Source organism: Homo sapiens, chromosome 6 (genome assembly GCF_000001405.40).
Source record: "Homo sapiens chromosome 6, GRCh38.p14 Primary Assembly".
Lineage (NCBI taxonomy): Eukaryota > Metazoa > Chordata > Mammalia > Primates > Hominidae > Homo > Homo sapiens.
In genome coordinates, this window is record NC_000006.12 from 133,694,855 (window position 1) to 133,717,372 (window position 22,518).

The window sequence follows — 22,518 nt, forward strand, 5'->3', positions numbered from 1 at the left end:
TCTTAATGCAACATAGAAGTAGGGAGTACATGAGGTCAATGTGTCGTATTACTGGTGATGTTAACTTTGAACACTTGATAAAGGTGTTTTCTACCAGGATTCTCCACTGTAGTTATTATCTTGCCCTTTTTAATTGATAAATATCTTGGGAAAGATACTTTGACACTATTTAAATGTCTTTTTTCTTCTCAAACATTTCCCCATGAATCCAACAGTGCATCTTACCTGCAACAATTATTATCGTGGTATTTGCCTAATTTTGCATTTACATTTCCCTCTTCCATTGACATTTATTAATTAAATTTATACTGTAAGGTGGAGCTGTTGCTTATCCTCCATTTATTTATTTGATCAATTATTCATTTATGTAAGTATGAGCTCACAAATTCTTTATTTTATTCTATAGGCTATAAGACAATACAATCATTATTTATTTTGTGGCTCAAATTGTTCCACATTTGGCTATTGAGTGCTTCAACCTGTGGCCTTTGGCATGCCCCATCTTTTTTGAGTTCCTCATTATTTCCTGGCACCAAGTTTATCTTGTATTTTTGCTGCTCACTCCTGGAATTAACCACTTTTCAAAGAATTATTTATTTTATTGGAGAACGGTGTTTAGAAACCAATAACTGGGTGCAACACATGCTCATTGCTACTGGGATGTCATTACTCCTAGGTCCTCTCAGCAGACAGAGCTGTGAAATACATGTATGTGCACTGAAACATTCATGCACACACATCTATATTTATTTCTATGTTTAACTCTCTGTATGAAACCCTGAATTCAAATGGATAGCTCTGATTCCAACTCAACACCGGAACATTCATTCTAGATTTCCCTTTTTCCTTATTTTTATATTCTTTCTCCAATAGTGAGAATCTGGCTCTCATTATCTATTTACAATATATTCATTTATTTACTCAATCACAGTATACACATAAAAGAGCTATAAAATTGCTAATTCAAACTCCTATTAGAAACAGATTTACTAAACAGAGTACAGTGTTTTTGTATAATTATTTTTGTCTTTAGCTTTACAGTAGCCCGTAAAAATACTGTTTTGCCAAGGTTACTTACGTGAATTCTTTTGCACCCCCTTTGGTGTGATTATTTTGTTAATTTTTAAGATGGCTAGCTTCATTTGTTAGTGTTCATGTTCCATTTTGGATCTCCTTACATCTCAGTTGATTCAAATTATTTATTTACTTGAGTGAGGGAGGATATGTAAAAACTGTCACTATCTTCCTAAGAGGCAAAGACATACAAAAAGATATGCTTGGAGAAGTGGTTCTCCCTTCTCATCCATGGTAATACATTCTCTTTCCTCCTTTCTTTCCACCCCTTTCTCATCGCCACCTGTAGGTAACCCATATCTTTAGCTTCTGGTTTACTATTTTTAATTTCTTTTCCACAAATGAGCAGATACCAGTGTGTTTTCTTAAATCCTTTTATTTTTTAACAAAAGGGTGGCATAATATAGATACTCTTTAGTACTTTGCTTTTGTCACTTATCAGTATAACCTGGAAATCACTCTAATTGGTTCATAGAGAGCTCTTCCTAATTCTTTGTTTTCTTTTTCATAGCTGCATAGTACTTCATTATGTGGGTATATCAGATTTATTCATCCACTTTTTTATGTTTGGGTATTTTATTTATTTCCAATATTTTGCAACTATTATATCTTCTGCAGTTCCCCACCAACAATGTATGAGAGTGTCTGCTTTTACTAGCCTAAACAAAGAAAGTGTCATTATGTTTTAAATCTTTGCCAATATGATAGATGAGAAATAGCAGCTCAATGTTCCATTTCTCTTTAATTAGGCTCAACATTTTTTATATGTTTGAGGGCCATTCTCATGCGTTTTTTATGGTGAATCATCTGTGGCACAGTATGTAACATTTGTACATTAGTCTTCCACCATCATTCCTGCCATTAAATCTTCAATGTACATCATTATGTTTTAAAATGCTCACCCTCAAACTTTTGCTGAAATTTTCCCAGTCATTAAAATGGTAGATTCCTCAAAAAGGGCTAATTAGTCCAGGATTTCCTAGATTCTTGTAAGTTAAAACTGTTTTTCGCCATTGCACTCCAGCCTGGTCAATAAGAGCAAAACTCCATCTCAAAAAAAAAAACCAAAAAACGAAAACAAAAAAACTGTTTTTCTACAGCCTTGATATTTGAAGTACAGCTTAAGAACCAGGATACTTGGTATGGAAGAAAGAAGATATGGTTATATTATTAATTGGCTAAATAAAATATTTATAATACTAAATTTAAATTGGAAATATTAGTACAAATGTATAAGGTATCATATTTATGTGTGTACATGTAAGTATATGTGTGTCTACATATATTTCTCTGTACATTGAGTCTTAGAATCATTGATTAATGCAGTTAGGAATGAGAATCTCTAGTGCCCATACAGATTATGTTCTTAAAATACTTAAATTAGTTCAGGAAATGTTCAAGATGAGACTGAACCATCTTGTCATATCTGATTGATAGCTAGATAGCTAGAAATCTGTCAAAGCACTAGTGTCATGTCCAAAAGACTGAGGAGCTAACTTGAAAGGATCTTACTGTTCAAAGATGGAATAGCTTGAGCTTAAATAAAGATAATAATTACAGTGGATTGAAACTTATTAAATGTATTTAAATTCATGAGTTGATAATAATATCCATGAACTAATTGGTCACTTTTAAGAGAAATAGGAAACCAATTCATTAGCCAGAATAAAGATAAAGACAGGGAAAGATTCAGGAATTTATATTTCCTTTTTAATAACTGTACCCCAGGGTAATTTAATAGGTGATTTTTTTAAAAAAAGTCTCTCCTTAAAAAGCAAAGCTAATAAGTAGGAATTGACTGCGACTTCTGATTTCAGCCTGGGCATGTAAGAAGCTTGGAAATCATCACTCATGTATTTACAAGAAGAAAAAAACTGAACAAACTGAAAATCATTGGCTCTCCATCAACACTCAGAGGACTGAAGCTGCATGGCAATTTGACACCCTGAAATCTGGAGAGACAGATGGATACAGAGAGTCACAGCCAAGATCTCACCAGGAGCAGATGCCTCTGGAGCCACAAACTGGTAAAAACACTTACATGGTAATTTTGACAGACTGCAGGAGACTGAATGAATATGGACTAGTATGAGAGTTAGAAAGTCCTAAGGGCCACAGTTTTTCATGGGTCTTATGTCCAGGAACCGCACCATGTTCTACCAGTGAAGATACGAGGATTCCCTCCAGATTCTGGCAGGGGGGAAGGGAAAAATGATCTCCTCCCCAAAACTCATAACCCCAGTCTAATCATGAGAAAAATATCAGACTAACCCCAATGCAGGAACATTCTACAATACTAAAAACTCTCAAGGTTATCAAAAACAAGGAGTCTCAGAAACTGTGACAGCCAAGAGAAGCCTAAAAGAAATGATGACTAAATGTATTATGGTTGTTATGGATGGAATATGTGTATTCTCCCTAAATTCATATATGTTGAATCCCTAACCCCCAATGTGATAGTATTTGGATATGCAGGCCTTTGAGTGATAATAATAGTTAGATGAGATCACGCAGGTGGGGCCCCCATGATGTGATTAATGCCCTTAAAAGAGGCACCAGAGAGCTTGCCCTCTCTCCTTGCCATGTGAGGATGTGGGAGAAAGGCAGCTGCATGCAATCCAGGAAGAGGGCCCTCACCAGGAATTGAATCAGCTAACACCTTGATCTTGAACTTCCCAGCTTCCAGAACTGGAAGAAACCAACCCACTGGTCCTATAGGCTGATCTTTTGATAAACATAGAAATTGACCCTTCTGGTCTTAAGGCTTGAAACTTATATTTGTTCTATCTGCGTTCCTTCCTTTGGACAGGACCTTCAGGCCTCTAAATAAAGTATTAAAGAACTGAAACTCACCAGATCACCGCATCAGATGTGGGACCCCTCATTCACCACGATTGCTTCCTTGCCCCTCCCTAGTTCTTGTTTTCTTACACATTGTTACAGTTCTCCCCTGCTATATAAACCCCTAGTTTAAGTCAGTCAGGGAAATGGATTTGAGACTGAACTCTCACCTCCTATCTCCTCAGCTGCAGCATCCAATTAAAGCCTTCTTCCTTGGCAATACTTGTCTCAGTGATTGGCTTTCTGTGCAGCAAGCAGCAGGACCTAGACCAAACCCCTAATGTTTCGGTAACAGTATTATGGTGGCCCAAGCAGGCTAAGATGGGATCCTGCCACATAAAAAGGGCATTAGGTATAGTTAATAATCTTATATCAATATTGGTTCATTAATTATAATAACCATACTGTACTATCGTAAGATAGTAACAGGGGAAACTGGTTATATGGAGAGAAGGGAATGTAGGCACACTGTACTATCGGCTCACTTTTTCTGTAAATCTAAAACTGTTCTAAAAAATAAAGTGCATTTAAAGTTGAAATATAATAAATTAAAAATAATATGTGGAATTTAAAAAACTATCCTTTTGTAACCCAGAACTAATTGATCCAGGCATATGGCATCAATAGTAGCTAAAAATACCTCCCAAAAAAAGATAACCAGACATTATTTGCTTCCTGATGAAATAACACTTCGTATATCTTGCAAAAAAAAAAGGTTTCATTTAAGTCAGATCAAAACTTTGAATTCAAGCCAGCCACAGTGGCTCACAGCTGTAATCCCAGCACTTTGGGAGGCTGAGGTGGAAGCATAACGCTTGAGTCCCAGAGTTCAGACCAGCATGGGCAACATGATGAGACCCTATCTCTACAAAAAAAAAAAAAATTAAAAATTAGCCAGGCATGTTAGTGTGTGCCTGTAGTCCCAGCTACTCAGGAAGCTAAGCTGGAAGGATCCCTTGAGGCCAGGAGTTTGAGAGTTTGAGGCCGCCATAAGCCCTGATCACACCACTGCACTCCAGCCTGGGCAACAGAGGAAGACTCTATCTCAAAAAAAAAAAAAAAAAAAAAAAAAAAGACTAAATTCATCTGCCAGTTTGCAGAAAATACAGAGAACAGAGAAACATGTTGAACAGCACCATGAATATGCACTCAGCAGGTCCAGATGGTAGAAACTACAGGGCACATGGCCCAGATTCCTCAACAAATAAACTGTAAAGAAAATGATAGAAGAGGATTTTGTATTATGAAGAACCCAAAATTCATTACATTTTAAAAAGGCTAGACTAAAAAATACATTAAATATCTTCCTTCTTTTTCAATGGTCCAGCATCCAAATCCCTGTGTAATGTTTGAGGACTTTGCATCATGAGTCAGATATTCTATTTACCAATCTCCTTTGGGAATAGGGATGGGAACATGACCTAGATGCAGCTGGTCAGATGACTCCACCAAAATCACCTAGACTTTCTACCCTGTCATCAAGTGTCAAGAGAGGTCTGCACACTGGGAATAACCACCAGCTTCTCCAAAAATCTTAACTCTATTAACATATTAAGACAGACCCTAAAAACCCAAAATAAGCAGACATCTCTTCCAATAAGTGCACTGAGTCTGAGGCCACTCTCTCCCTGGGCCTTTGCCACCATTTTCAGGGGCCAGAAAGGACCTGCAAATTAAGCCTAAGACAAAGCTACCCCAAATTTATTTTCCTCTAGTCCACACTCTCTGCCTTGAATCCATCCAGGAATACTCTCATTTAGCCCTTTTTCTCTGTTTATATCAATTAGCAAAAAAAGCCCCATGCTCCCAGTTAACCCCCTTATCTCTTTATTCCCCATAAGGCTTAGCACATCCCTCATTCTTACCTCCCTCCCACCCTCCCCAATCCCAGAAATCATTTCCTTGTGCCTTCTGAAATGGTCCACATGCCATATTGTATGTTTTGCAATGGGCACAACAAGTTCTCTCATTCCTATGCTTCTGCAAATCTTTGCTTGAATGTCAGCCTTTTCATGATACCTTCCTGACCACACCATTTAAAAACTGCACATGTAAGCCCCTCTACACCCACCCTTCTTATCTCCTGTAATGGTTAATTTTATGTGTCAACCTGACTGTTTTTCTGAAGAACCCTAACACATTCCACTTACTCTGCTCTCCTTTTTTCTAAAACATTTATCACTTACAATCATCTTACCTAACTTACTTCTTTATGGTATCCATTGGTATGGTCTGTCTCCCAATAACTCACTCTCCCCGACCCTAACCTAGAGTATAAGTTTCAAGAGGGTGGAGGCATTTGTTTATTTCCTTCAGAGATATTTCTCGAGTACCTAGAATGGGGTCAGGCACAGTCAGTTTCCTGGGACTGATTATGCAGCCACCTCAATGATCTTGTAAGTGAGACAAAATCCTTTTGAATAATTATATTTCTGTTTAAGTCAGCCAGTGAGGATTTCTGTTTCTTTGCTAACAACTAAGAACACCCAAGTATTGGTCTTTCGAAAATGGATGAGGAAATTTCTGAAATATTCATAGGTTCAGAAAAATATCACTAAAACTGAAAGAGAAAATAGTACAAGAGGAGGTGGTCCATCTAATTAACAATCAACATATGATGCTGATGAGACAACTGATCAAGAAAACTCAGAGTGGAGAAAGTTACAACATGTGGATTTAAATGTCCTTTACATTTGATCCAACATCACCTAGGCAGCCTATTACTTTACTTCCCTTTTTAGAACTGGCCAGGAAGACACAGCAGAGAAAAGACCTCTCATAAAAGGCCATGCCTGGGAAAGCCCCAGCATGGATCCATATGGTTTGTGAGTCTTTTTCCCTGTGACATTTTTATGAAGGTTATGTATATGTCCCGTTCATCTTCATTCTCCCGGTGCTAATTGCTGTCTATTGGACCCTGCTACTGTGTACAGAGACCACATGCTTCCCCTGACACTGCCCCGGCTGTGGTGTGCCACATGGCCCTGCTGTCCTCAGATAAGAACCTGCTGCTGTCTGACCACAACAGCTGGAAATGTTCTGCCTTGAAGAGCTTATCGTGTGGACACTCAAGTTGAGCTATGACAGTCGACAAGCACACAAAATGAGTGGATTCTCTGGGGGCAGCGTATGGCAACTGAAAGCTTCCCATGTCCTGTTGGACATGAGCTTCATGTTTGGAGTTGATAATGAGGTTTTGCCTGGACACTTCCTGTGAAGAAAGCATTGTGTTGAAGGCAGCAAAAAGTTCAAGAGAGACATGACCGCAATTTCTCTAACAATCGGACTTTCTCTGAGCCTCTCAGTTATTTATTTCTCCTTGTTGAGGACTAGAAAGAAATGAAAGAAGATAACCCTTAACATCTTCCTTTCTCCTCTATGTCCTTAATATGATATTTGATATATACAAAAGAATATGTGTGACCTCTTTATGAGTCATAAAGTGTCCACAATCCAAGAATTACTACATCGCCAAAAATTAGCCTCCACTGGGTATTCTTTCCTAGCCCTCCCTCTCTGCCTCCCCCAACCCAGGATGACCAGGATCCAAAGTCTTATGTTTTTAATTTCCTTGCTTTCAAAAATGATTCTATCACATATGCCTATATCTTAACAAGATAGTGTTTAGTTTCTGAGTGTTCTAAAAGTGGTATCATACTATCTATAGTATTCGGGACTTGCCTTTTCATCACTTAACATTTTGTTCTAAGTTTTATGCATGCTGCTCTGTGGTCATTCACTTTCACTGTTGTGTACTAGGACTTTGTATGACTAGACCAGGTTTATTTATTTGTATCCCTGTTGGCATTTGGGTACTTTCTCACTTTTTAGAAGTCTGAACAGAGTTGCCGTATTATTCTGTTTTCACAGTGCTATAAAGACATACCAGAGAGGGTAATTTATAAAGAAAAGAGGTTTAATTGACTCGCAGTTCTGCATGGCTGGGGAGGCCCCAGGAAACTTACAATCATGGCAGAAGGGGAAGAGGCACCTCTTACATGGCAACAGGTGAGAGAGAGAAGTGCATGAAGGAGGAAAAGCCCCACACTTATCAAACAAACAGATCTCATGAGAACTCACTCACTATCATGAGAACATCATGGGGGCAACTGCCCCCAGGATCCAATCACCTCCCACCAGGTTTCGCCCACAACTCATGGGGATTATGGGGATTACAATTCAAGATGAGATTTGGGTGGGGACACAGAGCCTAACCATATTAGTTGCTCTAAACATTCTTGTCTTTGGCTCCTGGTGCACTTGGGCTACTCTATGTCCACCTAAGAATGGATTTACTGGTTATTTGCATGTTTTGCTTTACAAGATAGCACCAAATTGCTTTTCCAAAGCAATTATTCTACTTTACCAGCCATGTATGAGGTCCCAATGATCCACGTTCTCTCAATATTTGGTATATGTGATTACTCAGAAGATTTGTTTAGTGAGAGGGAAGAAATTTTCTCTAATGTGAGCGAATGAACTAGCTAATGCCACTCAGGTTGAGAAAGCTGCTACCAGCTACCAGGCTTGCACTTTGAGATGCATGACTCCTTTTTGTTTTAATATGTATTTTTTAAAATTTATTTATTTTAGAGACAGGGTCTCACTCTGTTGCTCACACTGGAGTGGAGTGGGGCAATCACGACTCACTACAGCCTCGACCTCCTAGGCTCAAGTGATCCTCCTGCCTCAGTCTCCCAAGTAGCTGGGACTACAGGCGTGTGCCACCACACCCAGCTAATTTTTTTTGTTTGTTTGTTTTTGAGATGGAGTCTCGCTCTGTCGCCCAGGCTGGACTGCAGCGGCGCATCTCTGCTCACTGCAAGCTCCACCTCCCGGGTTCACGCCATTCTCCTGCCTCAGCCTCCCGAGTAGCTGGGACTACAGGCGCCCGCCACCACACCGGGCTAATTTTTTGTATTTTTTTTAGTAGAGACAGGGTTTCACTGTGTTAGCCAGAATGGTCTCGATCTCCTGACCTTGTGATCTACCCGCCTCGGCCTCCCAAAGTGCTGGGATTACAGGCGTGAGCCACCACACCCAGCCCACACCCAGATAATTTTTTACTTTTTGTGGAGATGTGGGTCTCCCTATGTTGCTTGGGCTGGTCTCAAATTCCTGGCCTCAAGCGATCTTCCCACCTCAGCCCCTCAAGGTGCTGGGATTATAGGCATGAGCTACCTACCATACCTGGTCTTAAGATGTATTATTTACACTTGTCAATGCAGCGGTTCCTTAGGTGTGGGACATGCCAGAAAGTAACACGTGAATGATTCAGTTGGAGAGAAAACACAGATATACTTATTTTATGGACCATTCTAGAACTCCCCATCTTGGAAGAAAGAAAATTTTAGGGCTCCCTGACCCTTGCACTGATGATAGAAAAAACGTAAAGCAGGTGATGTGTTTTCTAGATATCTTCACTGCTCTGATGCTGATGATAGCTCTGTGCTGATGTCCCTAAGCTTATTCCATCATTCAGAACACTCAGATTTGCTTTTTTCAGGAAGGAGTGTGTGTGTGTGTGTGTGTGTGTGTGTGTGTGTGTGTGTAGATTTGAGAATACAGCCTTCAGTTTTCTCCTTTTACTGGCATTAAAGTATGTGTGTTATCCTCAGAAGCAAGGCATCAACTCAATAATGCCCTGGTCTGCTCTGTACTAGTGAGAGGCTAGCATCCTGGTCTAGGTTACATGTAGGAATTTTGTATAGTGAAAATTTCAAGTTAGGCAGGAAAGAGGACAAGGCAGAAAGGCAACTGGAAAGGCCATAACACCAGTTAGTAAGTAGCCAGTTAGTTGACTCACACTTGAGGCTAAATCAAATCTCATTTTGAGAAAATTTAGGCAGACTCAGATTTGCTGATTCACTTACATGCATTTAATTTAAAGTCTGAACTTTTTCTTTCAAATATCAAACATTCCTATATTTGGAAAATCCACATTTAGAGCTGCAATTTCTAGTAACCAACTGGCTGATTCATATTACACAAACACAAATTTTAATGTTTAGTGAGTTTTCTGCCTCTAAAGTTTTTCAAAAGTCCTGGAAAATACATGATATATTCAAGGTCACAATTTGCTCTTGGGATTTCTGAAAATATCTTTGCTGATTTATGGCACAGTAGCCCTTCTCAAGCAGAAGAGATCTTGCTCATTGGGTATGCACACTTGGATAAAGATGTCCTTTTGTAAAAATGGAAATATTTTTCTGTTGAAAAAGTAGTGTAGAAAAGAAGGAAACAATGGAATTGACAAGCTAAAGAAGATTGTGAATTGTGAAAATTAAATGCTATGGCCAAAAGATACTTCCTCTCTTGTTCCTTGTCATGAGAAGTATGTACTTGTGTAATAAATAAGCTATTTGCCATGCTTTTTATTCTTTGACTTTTAAATTCACTAAATGTTTTCCAAATTAAGCAAAGGAAATTGGAAGATAAATTTATGACTACAGTTTCTGGGGAATAAACTTGAGGCCAGTTGGATATGACTTGAGTGAAGTAACGGTGGTGCAATAGAGCAGTGAAATCAGAACAGTCTAACTAGCCAATAAGGATGAATCATAATGCAATATAATCCTAGGTTTGGAGGGATTTTAAAGGCCATCTAGCCCAGCAGCATGATTTATACTATAGAATATTTTAGCTCAGCAATAGAAAACCAAAATTGTGAAGTTTTTTGTTTTTTAGAACCAATCCAAATTGTTCTGGCAAAATCAGACGTGTATTCTAAGCTCAAATTCCAATATATTAGTTTTTTGATCTATAATCTGTGGATGCACCACAAAGGGAATCAAGGGGCCCTTTGAAGTGGAATGCAAAATTTTGTGGGATTGTGTGCATTTACGCTTTTGTCTGATACAGTAAATATTGATCAATATCACACAAATAAACAAAAGGTCTTTGGAATCCTCAGTATTATAAAAATGTTTAAAAGAGTCCTGAGATCAAAGAGTTTGAGAACTATTGTTTTATACATTACTGTTATTTTTCATTTCCTCCACAAAATAAATTCTAGTACAGTCACATGCCACATAACATTTCCGTTCATGACAGACCACATATACAACAGTGGTCTCATAAGATTTTTTATACCATACTTTAACTGGGTGGAGTTTAGCTGCACCTACTGCAATTTTCTCAGAATAATATGGAGATTGTTGATACAACTTAGTCAGAGAATTGGAATGAAATGAACATCCAGAAGGCCTGTAGTGACAGTGGTGGAAGCAGTTGTTACACAGACAGCTTGCCAGGTGACCCTAGCTGGCTCTAAATGAACATGCTTTGGAAAAGAAAAAAAATGGAAAAGTAGAATGGCAGGAGAAAAAACATGAAACACAGGAGACACCAATCTCTCGAGGCAAGGGTATTCTCGATGTTTCTCATTGCCACTGCTTTTCAAAACAAAGCACTAAAGGAAGACTGCTATGGCTAGAATGTTTGCCCCCTCCTAAACTCATGCTGGAATTTAATTCTCACTGTAGCAATATTAAGGAGGGCCTTTACGAGACGATTAGGTCATGAGAGCCCTGCCCTCATGAGTGGATTAAGACTGTGATTGTGGGAGTGGGCTCCTGATAAAAGGATAAGCTCATCCCCCATTTGCTGTCTGTCTTGTGTGCTCACTTGCCCTTCTGCCATGTTATGATGCAGCAAGAAGGCCCTCACTAGATGTAGATCCTCGATCTTGGACTTCTCAGCCTGTAGAACCTTAAACCAAATCTCTTTCCTTTATAAATTACCTGATTTGTGGTATTCTGTGGCAGTAGCAGAAAACAGACAAAGAAGATCCTTTATGGATTTTTTTGTTTTGCTGGAAAATAACATTTTAGGAGACAGCTGTTTTGTAATTGACCTTATGGGGCTTAAAGTTTGAGAACCATATTTATATTAAATGCAATTTCACATTCTGTCACAGTTTCTGTTACTGTTTTCACAAAGAGTTAACTTAAAATACTAAAAAGAAGAGAAAGGTAATTTCTCTTCTGATTTTCTACTATGGGAACAAATTGAAAATTGAATGATGTAATGTATTTACAGTAATGTATATATATGCTGTATTTACTTGTGTTCACATAATCTAAATTAACAAATGTTGTAGGAGAAGCATGTTTGAAGTCAGGCAGACTTATGTTTGAATAAGTGTGATCTTGGGAAAGTACTTAATATTTCTTGATATTTGCTTCTTCATCTATAAAGTGGAATGTGAAATAGCTCCCTAGCAGAATTGTGGTAAGATTTGGAACAAGAGATGTAAAGGACCCTAAGTACCACACTGGAAATAGTCTATAAACTCAGTAAGTGTTTGCATATTACTTTTATTGCCACTATTACTAATTCATTGTTATTGCTGATGATTTAACAAAAGACTTATTTTAAAGTATGGATACAGTAGATTTGACAATTTTTCTATGAGTGCATTCAAAAACAATATAACACTAAAGCAAGTTACAGAAAACCACCATAATGCTCTTATCAGCAGCAGCAATAAACATATGTTTAGTACACACTATCCATAGAAAACATCTAGGTCTCAAATATATAATAATTTAGAAACAAATAGCTTGTTCTTAAGAAATTTTATAAGCTGTATGTCGAAGGACAATGTGTTATTTTTATCAGGGGCAACAAGCATGCTTTGCCTGTTCCCCTGTATCCCATGCTGGAGCTGGAATCAAGGAGCACTTCTTCCAGAATCCCTTGCCAGCAGGATTCTGGTTCAGAGCCTGAGAACAAGAGGCATTTACATGGAGTGTGAAAGGCTGAGGGAAGGCAGAGCCATTACTACCCCTCTAGCAAGTGGCTTTGACAGATGGTGCAGTTCTGTTGTGGTGTGAGCAATTTCCTTCAAATCACTCACTGATGGTGTGGGCAGCTGAAATCTTGACTGTGGTTTCCTGTGATTTCTGAAAGCTACTGTGGGTTTCCTCAGCAACAAATTCGGCGTATTCTGTTTATTACTGCTGGTAATACTTAAAATTGTTTCTGTATTGCTGAGCCGTCTATGAGTTAAAATGCTTAATAAAGTATCTGAATGACGTTACTTCAAGATGACTCACTAATCAGGGATGAACCAAGAAAATTAACAACGAACTCAAAATAAGGCAACCTGGTTTTGTATACAAATCTGCAATCATATAAGCATAAGTCAAAAATGTCATTCTACACATGTGTTTTCCTATTTGTCAAATGTAGATACTTAGAAAATTCTCACTTAATTCACTGAGCTTACATGAAGATTAAAACCATAACATTGAGGAAAATGTTGTGAAGACTGGAAACTCAAAGTGTCATATTGACCTACCACATTTATAAGTTTAGAATATCTCTCTTGTTTTCCTTCAGTTTAATTATTATAATAATAGCCTATACTAACTCAATCAACCCCCTGATAAAATTAATGTGCATCTTTAATATCACTTGAATTAATAAAACTCAATTATATGTAGCATATAGTATTCAAAATTCTGTAGACTTAAGTATATGGTATATTTGTTTATAACAAAATTTTACCATATCCTCAAGCTTCTACTTTAAATCTCAGAATGTAAATATAAAATTCAGAAAGTCTATTCTCAGATGCTTCCCTCTTCTTCATTATTCTATATTTATTGGAGGCATATAATTCATTTATTAATCATTTATTTATTAATGATTTTCTCAAATTTCTGTACTAGTATTTTTTTCCTTTCTATAAGGTTCATAGTAATTGCCTTCATCTTTGATGATATTTTATACATAAGTCAGACTCATTCATTATCTTCAACATCATCCTACTTTCCCTAATTCACCACCACTGTATCTGTTCACTATATTCATTTCTAATTAGGTGAAATGTACATATTTTAACATAATATAGTTATTAATATAATATTCTGATATAACACACAGGTTTTATTTCATCCTTGAAAGTTTCTATGAAAATCATCTTCCTAGAAATAGAAGAGCTGACAATAACAAGCCCTAAACCTAAGCTAAGAAACCTGAATCCTAGTTCTGCCTGTGTCATTAACTATGGACCTTGGGTAAGTTGCCTAACTGTTTTGTTATCCATAGGAGTTAAGTCATTAGACCATATCATTTCTTTCTTTTTTCTTTTTTTTAACTTTTATTTTAGGTTCGGGGTACATGTACAGGTTGGTTATATAGGTAAACTTGTTGCACAGGGATTTGTTGTACAGAATATTTTGGCACCCAGGTACTAAGCTTAATACTCAATAGTTATTTTTTCTGATGCTCTCCCTCCTCCCACCCTCCATCCTCAAGTGGACCCCAATGTCTATTGTTCCTCTCTTTGTGTTCATGAGTTATCATTTAGTTCCCACTTATATGTGAGATGTATTTGGTTTTCTGTTCATGTGTTAGTTTATTAATGATAATGGCCTCCAGCTCCATCCATGTTCCTGAGAAAGACATTATCTTCTTATTTATTATGACTGCATAGTATTCCATGGTGTATATGTACCACATTTTCTTCATTCAGTCTGTCATTTATGGGCATTTAGGTTGACATCATGTCTTTGCTTTTGTGAATAGTGCTTCAATGAACATTCACATGCATGTGTCTTTATGGTAGAATGATTTATATTTCTCTGGGTATATACCCAGTAATGGGATTGCTAGGTCATGTGATAGTTCTGCTTTTAACTCTTTGAGGATTGGCATACTGCTTTCCACAATGGTTGAACAAATTCACACTCCCACCAACAGTGTATAAGCATTGCCTTTTCTCTGCAACCTCCCCAGAATCTGTTATATTTTGATTTTTTAATAACAGTCATTCTGAATTGGTGTGAGATGGTATCTCATTGTGGTTTTGATTTACATTTCTCTAATGATACTGAGCTTTTTTCATAGGCTTGGTGGTCACATGTATGTTTTCTTTTGAAAAGTGTCTGTTCATGTCCTTTGCCTACTTTTTAATGGGATTGTTTTTTGCTTGTAAATTTGTTTAAGTTTCTTATAGATGCTGGATAATAGACCTTTGTTGGATGCACAGTTTGCAAATATTTTCTTCCATTTTGTAGGTTGTCTGTTTACTCTATTGATAGTTTCTTTTGCTGTGAAGAAGCTTTTTACTTGAATTAGATCCCACTTGTCAATTTTTGCTTTTGTTGCAATTGCTTTTGACATATTTGTCATGAAACCTTTGCCCGTTCTTATGTTGAGAAACATATTGCCTGTGTTATCTTCTAGGGTTTTTATAATTGGGGGTTTTACATTTAAGTATTTAATTCATCTTGAGTTGATTTTTGTATATGGTGTAAGAAAGGGGTCCAGTTTCAATCTTCTGCATATTACACCATATTATGTCTAAGTTACTTCCAGTTGTAAATTTTCTTTTTATTTACATATTTATTGCACATATACTATTGCAAATTTGTTGCAAAATATTTGTACTAAGTACTATGATAAAAATTGTTTAAAAGATTCATAGAGCCTGTTTAAAGAGTCTATATTCTGGAAGGGGAGTAAGATAATTCAAAATAGTTGAATGGAGGAAGAGAGAAGGGAAGGGACCTCTTCATTCTTGTTCCTTATTGTACATGCAATGAATTACACAAAGTCTGATACACAATAATAAATATTGAATAAATCAATCAATATAGAGAAGGCGTAAATGTGCACTAAGTTGCACTTATATAGACTGAGTCTTATTTGATTATTAAAAGTATAATTCAAATCCTGGGTACCGGCTATTAATCTCAACTCCAACTCCATCATTTTATATTATGATTCCTAATTAATTGTTTTCTCCACTAGTGATAGTAGCCATGCCCAAGGAATGAAAAAAATCTGAGAAAGAAATATAGTCAAATGGACTATGAACTACTTAGTACGGATACCAGTTCAGCTGGTTAAATGATTTGATATCAATTTTTCAGATATTAGTTGTATTAGTCCATTTTCATGCTGCTAATAAAGACATACCAAAGACTGGGTAATTTATAAAGAAAAGTGGTTTAATTGACTCACAGTTCAACATAGCTGGGGAGGCCTCAGGAAACTTACAATCATAGTGGAAGGGGAAGCACGCACGTCCTTCTTCATATGGCGGCAGGGAGGGAAAGAATGAGAGCCAAGCAAAGGGGGAAGCCCCTTATAAAACCATCAAATCTTGTTATAACTTACTATCACAAGAATAGCATGGGGGAAACTGTCCCATGATTCAATTATCTCCCACTGGGCCCCACCCATGGCACTTGGGGATTATTGCAATTCAAGGTGAGAATTAGGTGGGGACACAGAGCCAAACCATATCATTAGTCATAGTAATAACTCTAAAATTTGACTCACATGGCTGACTTAAATCACTACTCACAAAAAAGGTCTTACTTAATACTTGTGTAATATGAATTATTATTCAATAAAATATGTTGTTATTAATAATGATAAATTATTTTAAAAATATAATTGCAAGAATCTTTTTTGTGTATGTGGAGGGGAGGACCCTAGGAGCACTGCAGTTGGACTTTCCCTTATTTCATCAAATAGCCATTTGGTCTTACCTTAAAGGCAGGATTAAATATTCTACCTCAGATAATACAAAAGATTTTTCCTTTTATTTTTTCCTACTTTTTTTTGGTTTTATTTTATATAGTTAAAGAGTGCAACATGATGTTCTGATATACACACACATCGTGAAGTGATTATTACAACCAAGCAAATTAACATAACCACCATCTCATATAGTACCTTTCTTCTTTTTGTGGTAAAGTAGTAAAATCTATTCTCTTGGTAAATTTCCACTATACAATGCATTAACTATAGTTTCCATGTTACACGTTAAAACTCTAGACTTATCCATCCTATATAACTACAAGTTTGTCCCCTTCAACCTACATCTCCCCATTTCCCCCCTCAGCTCCCATCCCTAGTAACCACCATTTTACTCTCTGTTTCTATGTATTTGATATATATTTTTTAGATTCCACACATAAGCAAGAACATCCGGTATCTTTCTTTCTGTGCCTGGTTTATTTCACTTAGCATAATGTCCTCCAGGTCCATCCATGTTGTGGCAAATGGCAGCATCTCTAATCCTGCCATTATATTCCTGCCCATAATATTCTACTATATAATGGAATATTCTTCAGCCTTAAAAACATTATATATATATATATATGGTGTATATATATATATGGTATATGTGTGTGTATATATATATATGTACCATAACAATTGTGTGTGTATATATAGATCACATATATATGCTTATATAATTGTATATATATAACATTGTCTTTATTCATTCATTCATTGATGGTCATTCAGATTGTTTCCATATCTTGGCTAGTATGAATAATGCTGCAATGAACATGGAGTGCAGATGTCTTCACAAGGTGGTGATTTCATCTCCCAGAAGAGAGAGTGTAGGTCATATGGTAACTCTATTTTTAGTTTCTTTAGGTACCTCCACACCATTTTCCGCAATGGCCACACCAATTTTGCATTCCCACCAGCAGTGTACTAGATTTCCCTTTACACCACATCCTAGTCAACACTTATCTCTTGTCTTTTTGATAAAAGATATTCAAACAGGTGTGAGGTGATACCTCATTTTGGTTTTGATTTGTACTTCCTGATAATTAGTGATGTTGAACACCTTTTCATACACCTGTTGGCTATTTCCATATCTTCTTTGGAAAAATGTCTTTTCAGGTCCTTTGCACATCTTTTAATCAGCTGTTAGTTTTTGTTTTTGCTGTTGAACTGTATGAGTTTCTTATATATTTTGGATATTTACCTTTTATCAGATATATAGTTTGCAAATATTTTCTCCCAATTGATAGGCTGCCTTCTCAAAAACTTTGTTTCAACAAGAATCTCAGAGGGAACAGATTAATGCAATAACTTTAATCTGGTTTCATCATTAATTCACCTCCTCCAAATTTCTTTACATTGAACACTAAATTGAATTCATTAATCTTTTCTGCTTCCAATGTGTATGTTACATTTTTAAACAATTCTTGCTATCCTGAAGCAGCAACATTAAATTCTTTTTCTCCCCCAAATTACAGTTTTAGATGACCATTTATCAGGTATATATTATAGTGCAATTTTTAGAAATTCCATTTGTTATATGCTGTTTGTGATCTTTGCACAGAACTTTCATTTGTCACAGGATTTAGCTCTCAGCAGTGTTTAGTTTTTAGGTCTTCAGAACAAGTCAATCCATATTCAGACACCTAATGACATAACTTATGCAGTGCAAAGACTTGACTGCCCTCTATCAACCTCTCTTTAGACAAGTCCTTTGAATGTAGTAGGGTAACATATAAAAAATGTACCTCTTGGCAAACCTCAAAGTTTCATTAAAAACATGACTTTATGGCTTAGACTTAAACACATTTGGCACAATGTCAGAAACTTCTAGAATATTCACTTATCCAACACTTGCCCAAAATAACCAATGTCCAAATGTGTCTGTGGATTTGTTTTGAAATCTGTTCAAAACTAAAATGTTAGAGACTGGTAACACTAAATTCCATGAAATGAAAAAAAAAAATCCTACAACATGTATGACCAAGAATCATGGCAGTGTCTTTCATAGGAAATGAAAAAAAAAATCCTACAACATGTATGACCAAGAATCACGGCAGTGTCTTCCATAGGAAGCTCTTTTCTAGGTATAAGGAAAACATAATTTATAAAGTAACAAATTATCCCCTGCATCCTTTTTAAAAATATAATTGTAAAACAAATAAGAGCTGATCAGGGGATCACCTAGCATTGAGTGTCTAGTTCATTTGAATAACTACTGACTAATTTTAAAATTGAGATCTTAATTTATCTCATTAAGATTTATCTTGTGCTTTAAAAACTGAATTGGACACTTCATCAATCATTTTGCTTGTGAAAGGCCCCGAGGTGTTCCAATCCTTATTCAAATGGAATTTTATCATGTATTCATTTCCATTTCAACTTTATTATATTACTTTGCCTCTATAAAAGAAATCTTTATGCTACCATTAATTTTATCTTAATTAATTGCAATTAGTATACTGAGTTGTTGATTTCAAATAACTTTCCACCTTTCCATAAAGCAAAGATTTATTAAAAGATAGTAGGCACTCTGAAGTTCAGGACATAAAATATTTTACAAATATTTTAAATTTCTAAGTGCCTATTTGGAAGATCCATTCCTAATGACCTAATGTTTTTTTAGCCTTTAGATGAATTAAAATACATTACCAAAATCTACGTGATTTTGGCTACTGATCCTTACCATAGTTCATTATAAATGGAGTCTAGATACTCATCATAAATCCATGTCTGAAATGTGGATGCTGATATAATTAGTTAATATAGGAATTATACTGATTTTAAAATGTACATGAAAAGCCTTGGAATACCACAAAACATGAACTAGCCAAATTATCCATGAAAGTATGCATCTCTCAAATGGATGTTAAATGAATGGTTATTATTTACAAAGGGAGGGCTAGGTTATCGAAAGGCCTACCCCATAAACATGTAGGCTTAATAGATTTGCCTTATAAATGTCAATTAATAGAGAATTAAGATGGTTATTATGCTTCTGCTAGCCTGAGATTAATCTCTGACAGTGGAGAATGAAAGGAACTTGTGATTTCTGCATTGCCCCGGAGGCTGACCTCATCTTCTACCCCTCAATCCCCCGTAATATAAACAGGGCATGCATAGGCTGATGCTTCTTACATCAGATTTTTCAAACGCTTTTGACAGCAATCTATAAGAAAGATGTTTTGCATTGCAATCCAGTGTGGGCACACGCACACAAACACACAATAAAAATAAAATAATTCCTACTATTACAATTGACATACACATATTTTCTCTATTATTTTATCATATTCTATTACATTTTTTTAAAATGCTGTTTTCATACCACCAATTTCATGACACTTAATTGGTCATGGACTAGAGTTTGAAAAACACTGTCCTAGACCATATTTGTTACGGCTGCTGTCAAGAATTTATCATAGAAGATGGGCAACTTAGAGGATGATGGTCTGGAGCACTAGCAATAGAGGCTTCTCACATTAGCTCAGGGTCAGAGATAACAATGGCCTTGACTGGTATTCATGTACTTCCTAGGTTTTAAGGGTTTACATGGTGCTTTTCAACTTAGCCCTGGAGGGAAAATATTTGCTAAAAGTCATCTTTGGTTCTTTTCTCCTTTTTGTTCCTTACATTCAATATTTCACCAGCTCTTCTGATATATCTCTCGGACTTTTCCTTTCCTTTCTATTACCTTTGTCTTCACTCCAGTCCAGTACCTTATCACCCAATACCTAGATCATTGCAGCAGCCCCTTGTTGCTCACCCATCTGCAACTGCTGCAAGATATATCTTTGTAAAGCATTGTTTCAATTATTTCATTCATTCTGATTAGAACTCCATAACGATGCTGTACTTCCTAACATGTGAGGAGAGCAAACGAGATCAACATTTGCAGAACATTTACTTCATAGAAGGAATTGACTTGTGTTCCTTTTTACTCAGTATTTTCTGTAATTTGGAAAACTATCCTATAAGATACATAATAATTAGCTTGTCTACAGTAATTCGGAAAGAAACAGAATTATAGTTTTCTAAAAAACAACCACATGGAGCATTTGTATTAACTTCCTATTGCTATTGTTCTCTGAAAAGTACAACGAATTCAGAGAACAAACACCACAAACCACAAATACAAATATAAATTTACTACCTTATAGGACAGGAAGTCAGAATTCTCACTAAGCTAAAATGATGGTGCTGGCAGGCCTGCGTTGCTTCTGGAGGCTCTAAGGAAGAATCTTTGCTTTTCCAGCCTCTAGAGGCTGTCCATGTTCTTGGGTTTATGGCCCCCTACCATCCTTAAAGCCAGCAATCATATTTTTCCAATCTCTACTACCATGGACATCTTCTCTGACTCTCCTGCCTCCCTTTTATAGTCCTTATAAAGGAGTAGAAGAACCAATGTGATAACATTATGCCTACTCAGACAACCTAGAATAATCTCTCCATCTCAAGATCCTTAACTTAAGCACATTAGCAAAGACCCATCTTCCAAATAAGGTAACATTTGCAGGTCTCAGGGATTAGGACCTGATATCTTTGGGGCCATCATTCAGCCTCCTGCCAGCAGAATAAATGTTCTTTTTAAGTGTACATGAAACATTTATTTAAATAGACCACATTCTGGTCCATAAACCTAGTCTCAATATCTTTTTTAAAATTTGCAATATACAAACTATCTTTTCTGACAAGAGGGAAATTAAACCAGAAATCAGTATGAGAAACATATCTGAAAAAAATCCTCCAAAAACTAAAAGTTATATAGTGCCAAATCATTCCAAGATCAAAAAATAAGTCACAAGGAACATTAAAAAATATTTTTAACTAAAGAAAATGGAAACAACACCCAAAAAATTTTGGGATGTTACCGAAGTACTGCATTAAATGCTTATATTACATTAAAAGTGTCAAAGTCAAATAAAAATACAGACACAAATCTCTAGGCAAAACATTTTTTCTGGGAATGCACATATATAAAAACAGAATTGCAATTCGGGTCATACACACAGAGCAGGGTAGTCTTTGGTACATTCAAAGAAGAAAAGGTTGAGAGTTTTATTAGAAAGAGAAATGTTACATATTGTTTTGAAAGAAAGCTAGGGCCAAGAAGATTTGGCACTAGCAAAGTTTTGGGGAGCTGGCAAGCTCTGATTGGTGAATGATGGCCATAGGTAAAACCAATCTTGGAGGCATGGCACGTTGTTTAGCAGCTACTAGGTAAACTGGTACTGGGGCTATAGCAGACTGTTTCAGTAGTTAGGCTTGCAGATAATTCTTGGAACTGGTGCTATATTCCCTGAGTGATTTTTCCTCCTGGCCCTTAACTCTGATTTAGTTCGGTATGACAAGAATAACACAAGGTATATAATTAATTTTCACAAAAGAAAGGTCTAAAAATCAATAATCTACATTTCACCTAAAGAACAATAAAAAGGGGGAAAATTAAACTCGAAATAAGTAGTAGGAAGGAAATACTAAATATAAAATCAGAAATCAAATAGTTTATATCTCTAAATGCCTATTTTGGGGGTTCATTCTTAACGACCTAAAGAAATTTTTTACCCTTTGACTGAATGAAAAACCTTACCAAATTCATGTGATTTTAGCTACTGGAGACTACCAAGTTCATTACAGATGAAGCCTAAACTACCCATCATAAAAGCATGTAAATTACCTAGAATAGCCAAAGCAATTTTTAAAAAGAAGAATAAAGTTGGAGGACTTAAACTATCAGATTTTAAGACATGTTACAAATATAAAGCTCTAGTGTTAATATTAGATTTAGTATTAATATAAAGCTCTAATAATCAATAAAGTATGGTAGTGGTATAAGGGCATAGATAAAGAACAGACATACAAATTTGAAAAGAAGATTTCAGAATAAAATATACATATATAGTTGAAAATTAAGTATTTATACCATGGAACACTATACAGCCATAGAAAAGAATAAGATCATATCCTTTGCAGAGGCATGGATGGAGCTGGAGGCCATTATCCTTAGCAAACTAACACAGAAACAGAAAACCAAATACTGCTTGTTCTCATTTATAAGTG

The 22,518-nt window shown here is 36.2% G+C and overlaps 1 long non-coding RNA gene across 1 annotated transcript in view, besides 3 other annotated features; it reads right to left on the bottom strand.

Moving 5' to 3' along the window:
* TARID (TCF21 antisense RNA inducing promoter demethylation) overlaps nucleotides 1-22,518 on the bottom strand; it is a 386,755-nt gene that overhangs the window by 192,603 nt on the left and 171,634 nt on the right. The gene's annotated exons all lie outside the window — the stretch shown is intronic.
* Nucleotides 6,836-6,980: an enhancer, noted in NCBI's record as "145 bp enhancer 179 fragment used in the MPRA reporter construct; PK_construct_4085". NCBI's record gives its function as "activates an SV40 promoter by MPRA in K562 cells {active_cell/tissue: K562}" and the evidence as "EXISTENCE:reporter gene assay evidence [ECO:0000049][PMID:23512712]".
* Nucleotides 6,900-6,917: a transcriptional cis regulatory region, noted in NCBI's record as "GATA motif; enhancer activity is reduced when this motif is scrambled". NCBI's record gives its function as "necessary for full MPRA enhancer 179 activity {active_cell/tissue: K562}" and the evidence as "EXISTENCE:site-directed mutagenesis evidence [ECO:0005528][PMID:23512712]".
* Nucleotides 12,764-12,964: a silencer, noted in NCBI's record as "peak6128 fragment used in MPRA reporter construct". NCBI's record gives its function as "represses an SCP1 promoter by STARR-seq MPRAs in K562 erythroleukemia cells {active_cell/tissue: K562}" and the evidence as "EXISTENCE:reporter gene assay evidence [ECO:0000049][PMID:32103011]".